Here is a 13,714-nt window from a genome sequence, read left to right on the forward strand (position 1 = left end):
AAGGCGGCCGCAGGGCTGGCAATGGAAAGCGGGGAGCGGGAAATGCGCGGGGAGGAGACTCGGGTACAGGGTGACTGGGGAAGGCACGAACCCACAGCGCGGGAAGAGCTCGGGCCAGTGGGATGGTGCCCTTGCCGCTGACGCGCTCTTGTACTAGTTGCTCTGCTGGTCTTAAGTAGATCGTCAGGGTCCGTGCGCCTCTGAGTGCCGGTCTGTGTCTCTGTCTCCGCCTTTGTGTGTGTCAGTCCATCTCTAAGTGTCTGTATCTCTCTGTCTCTGTGCCCCGTATCTCTTTCGCTGTGTTATGGCCTTTGTCTATGCCTGTCCCTTAAGTGTCTGCCTTTCTCTATCTATCTCCATTCTTGACTCCTGTATCTCTGTGCCAGTGTCTCCGTCTCCTGAATCTGGGTATTTCAGTCTCTCCTAGGAGGGGTCTATAGAAACTGGGCCGACGCGCGCGCACCAGGGCAGACACCCCCAGCCCTAGTCCGGTGGCTGTAGCCCCCCGCGGCTCTGGAGTGGTGCGCTCGCAGTGTAGGAGGAATGAATGGCGGCGTCGCGGGGGGCGCCCTGGGCTGCGGGTGACGCGGGGAAGCTCGGAGCACCTGAGGACGCGGAGCGCGCCAGTGTGTGCCCCGAGGGAGTGCGGTAGAGATGGAGGGTGCCCCCCGCCCTCGTTGCTTTGGACCACGGGTGAGTTCTCGCCTCACCGATGGGAACATGCCCTCTTCTCCCCTTGCCTCCCGCCCCCACAACCCCCGCCCTGGCTGGCCGTCACCCGCGGCGTCACCTGCTTGCCAGCGCGCAGGAGCTCTGGCGCAATCACTGGCCTTGGGGAGGAGGGGGTGTCTCACATGCGGCGACAGTGACGGCAGCGCTGAAAACGGTAATGATCACCCTGTACGTTCATTCCACACTCCAGGCGAACGCGCTTTCCTTCCTTAATCTGGCCAAATTACCAAATCACACAGCTGGTGAGGCTGCCTTGTAGTGGGTCTCCTTCCAACACTTTCTCGCCAGGTGTTAATACCGGAGACACAGGGACAAACGCAATGGTGGCTGCCCAGGGAACTGGATGGGGGGGGCGGTATGCCACAGGATACCTTGATGCCAGCCTCACTCAAGGGCCCAGGCCTGGGGGCCCATCACTATGAAGCCCTCCTCTGCTCTGTCCTAGTCTCCGGGATGAGGGCCACAGCTGGAGGTGGAGGCCCAGCCTGGAGTGAGAGGAGCCCTGAAACTGGAAGGACAATAAAGGCGGAAGACTGGGGTCACTGGAAGAGAGTCCAGAAAATTCCACATACACTGGAAGTTGTCCAGTAATGGGTTCCAATCCTGACTCCCACTTTCTCAGTGACCTTGAACTGAAGGACCCATAATCATGGTTTTAAAAAATTAATTCGTTTGTACTTAAAACATTTTAGGAGGCCGGGCTCAGTGGCTCACGCCTGCAATACCAGCACTTTGGGAGGCCGAGGTGGGTGGATCACCTGAGGTCAGGAGTTTGAGACCAGCCTGATCAACATGGCAAAACCCTGTCTCTACTAAAAATACAAAAAAAATTAGCCAGGTGTGGCACACACCTGCAGTCCCAGCTACTTGGGAGGCTGAGGCACAAGAACCGCTTGACCTAGGGTGGCAAAGGTGGCAGTTGGCGGACATTGGGCCATTGCACTCCAGCCTGGGTGACAAAGCGAGGCGAGACTCCGTCTCAATAAAAGAAAGAGAGAGAGAGAGAGAGAGAGAGAGAGAGAGAGAGAGAGAGAGAGAGAAAGGAAGGAAGGAAGGAAAAAAATTTTAGGAAAATTAAGAAAATCACATAACATCTTTTTTTTTTTTTTTTTTTTTGACACGGAGTCTTGCTCCGTTGCCCAGGCTGGAGTGCAATGGCGCGATCTTGGCTCACCATAACCTCTACCTCCCAGGTTCAAGCGATTCTCCTGCCTCAGCCTCCCGAGTAGCTGGGACTACAGGCACACGCCACCATGCCCAGCTTTTTTTTTTTTTTTTTTTTTTTTTTTTTTTTGAGATGGAGTCTCACTCTGTCGCCAGGCTGGAGTGCAATGGCGCCATCTCAGCTCACTGCAACCTCCCCCTCCTGTGTTCAAGTGATTCTCATGCCTCAGCCTCCTGGGTAGCTGGGACTACAAGTGTGTGCCACCACTCCCAGCTAATTTTTGTATTTTTAGTAGAGACAGGGTTTCACCATGTTGGCCAGGATGGTCTCAATCTCTTGACCTCGTGATCCGCCCACTCGGCCTCCCAAAGTATTGAGATTACAGGTGTGAGCCACTGCGCCCTGCCAGTCTTTGTATTTTTTGTAGAGATGAGGTTTCACTATGTTGGCCAGGCTGGTCTTGAACTCCTGACCTCGCGATCCGCCCGCCTTGGCCTCCCAAAGTGCTGGGATTATAGGCATGAGCTACCACACCCGGCCTTATAACTATATATATATATATATATCCTTCTAGTCTTTTCACCATGTGTCTGCATGATATGATACCTCTGTAAGCCCCATGTTCTAGTCTGAAGCATGGGGATGATAAAACCTACTTATTAAGGAACGTTTTGCTGGGCAACATTCATGGCTCACACCTATGAATTCCGCCACTCAGAAGGCTGAAGCAGAAGGATCGCTTGAAGCCAGGAGTTGGAGACCAGGCTGGACAACATAACTAGGCCCCATCTCTAAATAAATAAGTAAATAAATAAGCAAGCCGGGTATGGTGGTACACACCTGTGGTCCCAGCTACTTGCAAGGCTGTGGTAGAAGGATCACCTGGGCACAGGAGTTTGAGGCTGCAGTGAGCCATAATGGTGCCACTGCACTCTGGCCTGGGTGACAGAGCAAGACCCTGACTCAAAAAAGAAAGAAAAGGACAGTTTTGTAGATGAAACTGTCCTGGGGTAAAGTGGGTTGTCTCGGGAGGTAGTGAGCTGCCCCTCACCTAAAATGCCAAAGAAGAGGCATGAGGGTTCTTGCCAAGGATGAGATAAGAGTATTGTGTGAGGAATTGAAACAATTCTCCTTTCTCTCTGCACAATGAGGGAGATTGGAAAAATGACAGTTTAATCCAGAATTCACTTGGTTACCTCCTTCTTAAATAATTATATTCCCGTCCCGGCCGTGCCTGCTGGATCATGGTTAAAGCAAAAGTCCTAAGTACAAACCTGTGGACTATTATGATATATAAGCTTCAGCTATGTTGTAAAAATGTGGGGATTTCTTTAAATTCTGCTCCTCTCTTTAAAATTCTGATATTCTGCTTCCTTCCCATGAGAGGAAAATACATTTTCACTAAAATGAAATAAAGCTTGTATAGAGTTGCGTGACAGTGCATTGAGTCTCTCAATTGGAAGTCCCTCAAACCTAGTATACTTGTCCACGTGCTCTACACAGATAACATGCCTTTTGACAATTGAGTATTAGTGACACTTTTAGTCAAGTGGAAACTGTAGACCCCTGTAGTGGATTGAATAGGGACTCCCACAACAATTCAATGTTCACCTGTAACCTCAAAGTGTGACCCAGGGCCAGGTGCAGTGGCTCATGCCTGTAATCCCAGCACTTTGGGAGGCCAAGGCGGGAGGATGACTTGAGCCTAGGAGTTCAAAACCAGCCTGGGCAATATAGTGAGACGCCATCTCTACTAAAAAAAAAAAAATTAGTTAGGCATGGTGGTGCATGCCTGTAGTCCCAGCTACTTGGGAGGCTGAGGTAGGAGGATAACTTGAGCACAGAAGCTAGTTGACAGTGAGCTATGACTGTACCGCACTGCACTGTAGCCTGGGTGGCAGAGCAAGACCCTGTCTAAAAAAAAAAAAAGTGTGACCTTATTTGGAAATAGGGCTTTTGCAGATACAATTAGTTAAGATAAGGTACAGTCAGGCTAGGTGGCTAATGCCTGTAATCCCAGCACTTTGGGAGGCCCAGGCGGGTGGATCACCTGAGGTCAGGAGTTCAAGACCAGCCTGGCCAAGATGGAGAAACCCCATCTCTACTAAAAATAGCCCAGATTGTGCCACTGCACTCCAGCCTCTGTGACAGAGTGAGATCCTGTCTCAAAAAATAAAATAAAATAAAATAAAAAAATATAGGCCGGGTGTGGTGGCTCATGCCTGTAATCCTAGCACTTTGGGAGGCCAAGGCAGGAAGATCCCATGAGCCCAGGAGTTGAAGACCAGCCTGGGCAACATAGGGAGACCCTGTCTTATATAGAAAGAAAAAAATAAAAAATAAATTAAGATGGGGTTATACTGGATTATGGTGGGCCCTAAATCCCATCACCAATGTGTTTATAAGAAGAGAACAGACACACAGGGAAAAAGGCCACATGAAAGACGCAGAGATAGGAGTGAGGGAACTACAAGGTAAGGAAAACCAAGAATTGTTGGGAGCCACCAGCAGCTGAAAGAGGCAAGGAAGAATTCTTTACTAGAGTCTTCCAAAGGAGCTTAACCCTACCAACACCTTGATTTTGGACTTCTGGCCTCCAAAACTGTGAGAGAATAAGTTTCTGTTGTTTTAAGCCCTCAGTTTGTGGTACCTTGTTACAGCGGCCCTAAGAAACAAATACAAGCTGTTAGAAATATTTTGGGGTAAGCTGGGTGTGGTGGCTCACACTTGTAATCCCAGCACTCTGGGAGGCTGAGGCGGGTGGATCACCTGAGGTCAGGAGTTCAAGACCAGCCTGGCCAACATGGCAAAACCCCATCTCTACTAAAAGTACAAAAATTAGCTGGGCATGGTGGTGGGCGCCTGTAATCCTAGCTACTGGGGAGGCTGAGGCAGGAGGATTGCTTGAACCCGGGAGGCAGAGGTAGCAGTGAGCCAAGATTGGCCACTGCACTCCAGCCTGGGTGGCAAAACAAGACTCCATCTCAAAAAATATAGGCCGGGTGTGGTGGCTTACACCTGTAATCCCAGCACTTTGGGAGGCCGAGGCGGGCGGATCATGAGGTCAGGAGATTGAGACCATCCTGGCTAACACGGTGAAATCCCGTCTCCACTAAAAATACAAAAAATTAGCCGGGCGTGGTGGCGGGCGCCTGTAGTCCCAGCTACTTGGGAGGCTGAGGCAGGAGAATGGTGTGAACTTGGGAGGCAGAGCTTGCAGTGAGCTGAGATTGCGCCACTGCACTCCAGCCTGGGTGACAGAGTGAGATTCCATCTCAAAAAAAAAAAAAAAAATACATATGTATATATTTTTTGGGGGGGTAGTATTTTTACTATCATATCTCATGATCATGTTTCTCCTTCCTTAGACTTTCTCTGGGCCTTTTGATCCTACCCTATCCACCTGATGGAAGCCCACACCATGAGGGTATTTCTAGGGCCCATTCTATTTAAAAGAAACTGATAAATTACTGTATCAGTCTGTTTTCACACTGCTGATAAATACATACCTGAGACTGGATAATCTATACAGGAAAAAGAGTTTAATGGACTTACAGTTCCACATGACTGGGGAGGCCTCACAATCATGGCAGAGGGCAAGGAGGAGCAAGTCATGTCTTACACGGATGGCAGCAGGCAAAGTGAGAGAGCTTGTGCAGGGAAATTTTCTCTTATAGAACCATCAGATCTCATGAGACCCACCCACTATCACAAGAACAGCACAGGAAAGACCTGCCCCCATGATTCAATCACCTCCCACCAGGTCCCTCCCACAACACATGGGAAGTCAAGATGAGATTTGGGTGGGGACACAGCCAAACTATATCAATTACAAAAAAAAGAATGAGAAAGATCTATGTGAACAGACATGGTAAAATCCTCAAGACCTGCCAAAATGTCATCAAATAACAAGTTTAGAGTAGAATTTTACATATGTGGGAAAAGTACACATACACACATATGTATACACACTTACATTCACATATATACATACAGTATATGTAGGAACATAAATGCACATAAAAGAAAGATCTGGGCAGGCTCAGTAGCTCACACCTTTAATCCCAGCACTTTGGGAGGCTGAGGCAGGTAGATTGCTTGGGCTCAGGAGTTTGAGACCAGCCTGGGCAACATGGCAAAACCCCATCTTTATTAAAAATACAAAAATTAGCCAAGCATGGTGGTGAGCACATATATTTTCAGATGCTCAGGAGGCAGGAGGATTGCTTAAGCCCAGGAGGTAGACGTTGCAGTGAGCTGAGATTGTGCCACTGCACTCTAGCCTGGGTGACAGAGTGAGAACATGTCTCAAAAAAAAAAAGAAAGAAAGAAAGAAAGAAAGATTTGGAAAGATACATACCAAAACGCAAATGATAGTTATCTCTGAGGATGGTACCAGGATCCCAACAGAATGAATTTCATCTTTTATTCAATATAATTCTGGAGTATATTACATTTGCAATAAAAACGTTTAAATATATTTTACATTTTATTATTTAATTTTCTTTATTATTATTATTATTTTTGAGACAACGTCTCAGTTCCATCACCCAAGTTGGAGTGCAGTAGCATGATCTTGGTTCACCACAGCCTCAACTTCCATGGCTTAGGTGATCCTCTACCACATCTGGCTAATCTTTGTGTATTTTTAGTAGAGACGGGGTTTCACCATGTTGCCGAGGCTGGTCCTAAACTCCTGGGCTCAAGCAAACCTCCAGTCTTGGCCTCCCAAAATGCTAGGATTACAGGCATGAGCCACTGAGACCAGCCTTAATATATATTTTTTAAGGGCTTAAAACCAGTGATATAGCACATTTATCAAACATTATACTCTAGCCCCAGACAAATTAGTTGCCTTTGAAAGGAAAATAGTGGGCTGGGTGCAGTGGCTCACACCTGTAATCCCAGCACTTTGGAAGGCTGAGGCTGGTGGATCACCTGAGGTCAGGAGTTCAAGACCAGCCTGGCCAACATGGTGAAACCCCATCTCTACTAAAAATACAAAAATTATCCAGGTGTGGTGGTGGGCACTTGTAATCCCAGCTATTCTGGAGGCTGAGGCAGAAGAATCGCTTGAGCCCAAGAGGCAGAGGTTGTAGTAAGCCAAGATTGTGCCATTGCACTCCAGCCTGGGTGACAAGAGTGAAACTCCATCTCAAAAAAAAAAGGAAAATAGTGTAGCAGTTAAGAACATGAAGCTTAGATTCAAATCCAGGCTCTGCCCTCTACCTGCTTGTAACTTTGGACAAGTTATTAAGCTTCTCTGTGTCTTAGGTTCCTCATCTCTAAAATATGGACAATGATATTGGTAGAACCCATCTTATAGGCTATCGCAAGGATTAAATAAGTTAACATATATATAAACTGCTTAGGTAAATGTTGGACTATAGAAATGTTATTATTATACAGAAAAACATAAAGAAAAAATAATGCCATCACTAGATATATTTATAATTAATATTTTGTTGTATGTACTCCTAATCTTTTTTGCTTTTTTTGTTTGGTTGGTTTGTTTTTCTTGTTTTCTTTTTTTTTTTTAAGGCAGAGTCTCGCTCTGTCGCCCAGGCTGGAGTACAGTGGCGTGATCTTGGCTCACTGCAACCTCTGCCTTCCGGGTTCACGCCATTCTCCTGCCTCAGCCTCCCGAGTAGCTAGGATTACAGGTGCCTGGCTAATTTTTTGTATTTTTAGTAGAGACGGGGTTTCACTATGTGGGCCAGGCTGGTCTCGAGCTCCTGACCTCGTGATCTGCCCGCCTCGGCCTCCCAAAGTGCTGGGATTACAGGCATGAGACACCACGCCCGGCCTTGTTTGATTTTTGAGATAGGGTCTCACTCTGCCATCCCTTCTGGAGTGCAGTGGCACAATCATAGCTCACTGCACCCTCAATTTTCCAGGCTAAAGTGATCCTCCCTCCTCAGCCCCCTGAGTAGCTGGGACTACAGGTGCATACCATCATGCCCAGCTAATTTTTTTTAAAAATTTTTAATAGAGATGAGGTCTCACTATGTTGCCCAGGTCTCGAGCTCCTGAGCTCAAGCAATCCTCCTGCCTTGGCCTCCCAAAGTGCTGGTATTACAGGCATGAGCCACTGTGCCTGGCAATTCCAATTTTTTTTTTAACCTATGCTTTTATACCTTCTGCTTAACAAAAATGAGATTTTGTAACCCTTTTTCTCCTCCGCTTAACTGTATGTGGGGAACATTTTCCCACAGCATAAACTCTTCTTGTCTATCATTTGTAAATGTTGCATAGCATCTCATCATATGGATGTTTAATTCAACAAGCCCTCTACTCTTGAACATTGAATTCCCTCCTAATTTTTTGTTTACGATTATAAATAGTGCTGTGATGAACAAATGTCGTAGGAAAAAAATGGCCACATTATTTTGTACCTCCTCCAATCAAGAAGTAGCATCTATTTCTCCAGCCCTGAATGGGCTTGATCATGTGACTTGCTTTGCCCAATGTGGACGTTGGTAAATGTGTTGCAAGCAGAGGCTTGAAAAAAGTGTTTATGGCCAGGCACTTTGGCTCACCCCTGTAATCCCAGCACTTTAGGAGGCCAAGGCGGGTGGATCACCTGAGGTCAGGAGTTCGAGACCAGCCTGGCCAACATGGACAAACTCTGTCTCTACTAAAAATACAAAATTAGGAATGGTAGCACATGCCTGTAATCCCAGCTACTCGGGAGGCTGACACAGGACAATCACCTGAACCCGGAGGCAGAGGTTGCGGTGAGCCAAGATCGCACCATTGCACTCCAGCCTGGGCAACAAGAGCGAAACTCTGTGTCAAAAAAAAAAAAGTGTTTATGGCCGGGCGCAGTGGCTCACGCTTGTAATCCCAGCACTTTGGGAGGCCAAGGCTGGTGGATCACGAGGTCAGAAGATCGAGACCATCCTGGCTAACATGGTGAAACCCCGTCTCTACTAAAAATACAAAAAATTAGCCGGGCGTGGTGGCGGGCGCCTGTAGTCCTAGCTACTCCAGAGGCTGAGGCAGGAGAATGGTGTGAACCCAGGAGGCGGAGCTTGCAGTGAGCCGAGGTCGCGCCACTGCACTCCAGCCTGGGCGACAGAGCAAGACTCCATCTCAAAAAAAAAAAAAAAAGTGTTTATGTACTGGGGCTTGCCCCTTCTTTGTTGCTGAGAATCTTAAGGCCACCATATGAAGAAGCCTGGGCAAGCCTACTGGAAGAGGAGATAATACACAGAGACACTGTTCAGGCATCCCAGCTGAAGCCCAAAAATGTAAATGAAGCCATTCTAGACCATGCTAAACCATCCAGCTCCTGCTGAGCTGGCCAATCCCAAAAAATCACAGAACATGAGAAATAATCAATGTTTGTTATTTTAATCCAGTTTGAGATGATTTGTTACACAACAAAAGCTAATTGATAAAACTATCCCATGGATAATGATTATTTCCTGGAACAATTTCCTAGAAGTAAATTTTCTGGGTCAAAGAGTATGCACACTTTCATACCTTTTGATTCATATTGCCAAAAAGGTTGTATCAACTTCTAAGCTACCAGCAATGTATGAGTGTTCATATCTTCCATCTTTATCTATACTGGACTTTGATGTTTCTTTTGTTTTTGAGATGGAGTCTTGCTCTATCGCCCAGGCTGCTGTGCAGTGGCGCCATCTTAGCTCACTGCAACCTCCATCTCCCAGATTCAAGCAATTCTCCTGCCTCAGCCTCTGGCGTAGCTGGGATTACAGGCACCCGTCACCACGCCCGGCTAATTTTTGTATTTTTAGTAGAGACTAGGTTTCACCATGTTGGCCAGGTTGGTCTCAAACTCCTGACCTCAGGTGATCCGCTCACCTTAGCCTCCCAAAGTGCTGGGATTACAGGCATGAGCACCACACTGGGCCTCATCGATGTTTCTTGTTATCTTCATGACTACATTGTGTTTGTAAATTTAACACACAAGCCATTGTCCATTCCCTCTCAATTCACAATCAATTTAGACCAAAAAAAAAAAAAAAAAAAGATTATCCATGTAGGAAAAAAGACCAAAAAAAAGATTATCTATGTAGGAAAAAAGATCAAAAAAAGATTATCCATGTAGGAAAGGAAGAGTAGAAAAGAGAGAGAGAAAATAGGAGAATAAGAGAGAAACAGAGTCAAAGATGAAAAATACAGAGAAAGAAAATAGAAATATAAAACAGAGCAACCTCCAAGACTCTTATACATAGGGTATTTAACATGTAGTCGGAAATAGTTATGGGGGGCTGGGCGTGGTGGCTCAGGCCTACAGTACTTTGGGAGGCCAATGCAGGAGGATTACTTGAGCTCAGGAGTTTGAGACCAAATTGGGCAACATAGTGAGACCTCATCTGTATAAAAAAAAAAAAAGGCCAGGTGTGATGGAATGCACCTGTAGTCCCAGCTACTTGGGAGGCTGAGGTGGGAGGATCGCTTGAGCATAGGAGGTTGAGGCTGCAGGGAGCTCTGATAATGCCAGCCTGGGTGATAGAGCAAACCCTGTCTCTAAAAATTGGAAGGAAGGAAGGAAGGAAGGAAGAGAGGAAGGAAAGGGGAGGGGAGGGGAGGGGAGGGGGGGATGGTTACGGGTCTAAAAATAATTTGGGTCATGAAAGAGACTTGAAAAGAAAATGCCCATTTAGGCCAAGCCTAGTGCATCTGAGAGCAGTGTAAAAATAGGTAACAGGCTCTATCATATGTGGTTGCATTTAATTCTCACAGCAACTCTCTGAGACAGGGGTGATTATTCCCATTTTATAGATGAGAAAAATTAACAGTCAGAGCTTTCAAGTAACTTGATAAAGATGATACAGCTGATAAAGAATTGAGCCCAAATTTGAGCCCAAGTCTGCCTGTCTTGGAAATTTATGTATTTCCACTTATTCTTCCTAGAAGGGATGTAGCAAAACACTAGCAACTAATGCAGGGAGGAAGTGTAGCCACCTTTTGATTCATATTGCTAAACTGCACTCCAGAAAGGAACCATACTCCCTGGGTTTGAATCCCAGCTCTGCCACTTACAACCTGTATAACTCTGAGTGTTTCTATGTCTCAGTTTCCTCATCTGTAGAATGGCTTCATAAGTGTCATGAGTGCATAAGATGTAAACCACTTGGAGCAGTGGCTGCCACATAGTAAAGTGCTGTCTAAACTTGCTATTTGTAGTATGCTGTTGCAGTGACCCTGGGAATATTTCTAATGATCCTGTTGCCAGGTGGCCCATACGTAGTAGCTTTCATTATGCAATCATGCACCACATAACAACCTTTATGTCAATGATGGACTGCATGTATAATAACAGTGGTTTCATAAGATTATAATGCTGTAAGCCAGGCGCAGTGGCTCACATCTGTAATCCCAGCACTTTGGGAGGCCAAGGTGAGTGGATCACTTGAGGTCAGGCATTGAAGACCAGCCCGGCCAACATGGTGAAATCCCGTCTCTACTAAAAATACAGAAATTAGCTAGGTGTGGTGGTGCGTGCGTGTAGTCCCAGCTACTCAGGAGGCTGAGGCAGGAGAATCGCTTGAACCCAGGAGGCGGAGGTTGCAGTGAGCCAAAATCGTGCCACTGCACTCCAGCCTGGCGACAGAGCGAGACTTCGTCTCAAAACAAACAAACAAACAAACAAACAAACAAAACACATTGCCCATTATGTGTCATGCACTGTCCCATATACTTTACAAGTACTATTTCATTTAATTCTCACAACTAGCCTTTGAAGTAGGTATTAGTCTTTTTTTTTTTTTTTTTTGAGACAGAGTTTTGCTCTTGTTGCCCAGGCTGGAGTGCAGTGGCGCGATCTCGGCTCAATGCAACCTCCACCTCCTGGTTCAAGCAATTCTCCTGTCTCAGCCTCCCGAGTAGCTGGGATTACAGGTGCGTGCCACCACACCCAGCTAAGTTTTTGTATTTTTAGTAGAGACAGGGTTTTATCATGTTGGCCTGGCTGGTCTTGACCTCCTGACCTCAGGTGATCCACCCACCTCGGCCTCCCAAAGTGCTGGGATTACAGGCATGAGCCACCGTGTGTGGCCTGAAGTAGGTACTCTCATTTCCATTTTACAAATGAGGAAACTGAGTCTGGATCCAGAATCTTTTATCCTTACTGTACTGTACTGTCTCCTGTTTAAGAACCATGCAATTTTGGGGTGCAAAATGCCAACAAAAGCAAATGCAACACTTCTCAGCCTGCTTCATTCATCATCTACTCTTTCTCAGCCGCAAGAACATTCTGCATTAGATCCACTGCAGCAAGTTGTCTGAGAACTGAGGTGAGTGTCAATAAATGGATTATGGGCCAGGCATGGTGACTTACGCCATAATCCCAGCACACTGGGATGCTGAGGTGGGAGAATTGCTTAAGGCCTGGAGTTCAAGACCAGCCTGGGCAAGATGGTGAGACCCCGTTTCTATAAAAAAAATTTAAAAATTAGCCAGGCACAGTGGCACGTGTCTGTAGTCCCAGCTACTAGGGAGGCTCAGGTGGGAGGATTGCTTGAGCCTAGGAATTTGAGGCTGCAGTGAGTTATGACCATGCCACTGCACTCCAGCCTGAGCAACAAAGTGAGACACCCTTCTCTTATTTTATTTATTTATTTTTTTTGAGATGAAGTTTTGCTCTTTGTTGCCCAGGCTGGAGTGCAGTGGCATGATCTCAGCTCATTGCAACCTCCACCCCCCTGGGTTCAAGCGATTCTCATCTCAGCCTCCCAAGTAGCTGGGATTATAGGCGCCCGCCACCATGCCTGGTTAATTTTTGTATTTTTGGTAGAGACGGGGTTTCACCATGTTGGCCAGGCTGGTCTCGAACTCCTGACCTCGTGATCCACCCGCCTCGGCCTCCCAAAGTGCTGGAATTACAGGCGTGAGCCACTGCACCCGGCTGACACCCTTCTTGAGAGAAAGATGAAAGAAAGAAAGAAAGAAAGAAAGAAAGAAAGAAAGAAAGAAAGAAAGAAAGAAAGAAAGAAAGAAAGAGAGAAAGGAAAGAAAAGAAAGAAAGAAAGGAAAGAAGAGAGAGAGAGAAAGAAAGAGAGAGAGAGAAAGAAAGAAAGAGAGAAAGAAAGAAATGGATTATGTGTTTGCTACCCACTCAAGCCTTCTCAGGTCAAATTCTTGTACTTTCTCAGTGGGGGTGGAGGATGGGGAGAGGAAGATGAAGCGCACTCTCTTTTCCTTTTTTTTTTTTTTTTGAATTGTAAAACACTAGGCACTTTTCAGTGCAACAGACTGCAATAACACCAGGCCTGATTAAGGAATGACAATATGGAAGGCAGATGGCAGATGCATGGGTGCCACACTATTGCTTTTCAGTTAAATATTGCTTGGTGTTAGTTTTTTTTCTCCTTGTAAATCTCCCAAATAAAACGGTTTGCTTTCCCCAAGTTAGAAGTGTTAGCACGTCTTTTCTTTAAATATCTGTGCATGGCTGTTTTTTTCCCTGCCAATTTGTCACCATCTGTAACCCTCCCTTTATGAGACGATCTGATGACAGCAGTTATCTTGGAGAGTAGAAGTGTGGTCTTGAAGCGCCATGGAAGAGTAGAGTCAGTGTAGGCTGTGTGTGTGTGGAGTGTATGCTCCCCCTGCACTTGGTGTGTGTACATACAGAAACACAGTGTGCGTGTGTGTTGGCTCTGGGTGTGTTGTGCGTGTGTACACTGTGTGTGAGTATGCAGTGTGTGTACATTCTGTGGGCATCTCGTGTGTGTGTGGACTGTGTGCTGGGCGTCGTGCCTGCCCGTGTCCTTGGCGCCTTGGCGTCTATGCGTTCTCTGCACATAGGTAGGTACCACGTGCACACCCTGAATGTGAGTG

General features: G+C 46.5%; 1 protein-coding gene across 1 annotated transcript in view, besides 1 other annotated feature; it reads left to right on the forward strand.

Annotated features, from left to right (window-relative positions):
- EEF1AKMT4-ECE2 (EEF1AKMT4-ECE2 readthrough) overlaps positions 1–13,714 on the forward strand; it is a 43,360-nt gene that overhangs the window by 12,243 nt on the left and 17,403 nt on the right. The window lies entirely within an intron of this gene.
- Positions 731–1,493: an enhancer, noted in NCBI's record as "H3K4me1 hESC enhancer chr3:183980433-183981195 (GRCh37/hg19 assembly coordinates)". NCBI's record gives its function as "activates a minimal SCP1, AML or CMV promoter by ChIP-STARR-seq in primed H9 embryonic stem cells {active_cell/tissue: H9 hESC(primed)}" and the evidence as "EXISTENCE:reporter gene assay evidence [ECO:0000049][PMID:30033119]".

Source organism: Homo sapiens, chromosome 3, assembly GCF_000001405.40.
Source record: "Homo sapiens chromosome 3, GRCh38.p14 Primary Assembly".
NCBI lineage: Eukaryota > Metazoa > Chordata > Mammalia > Primates > Hominidae > Homo > Homo sapiens.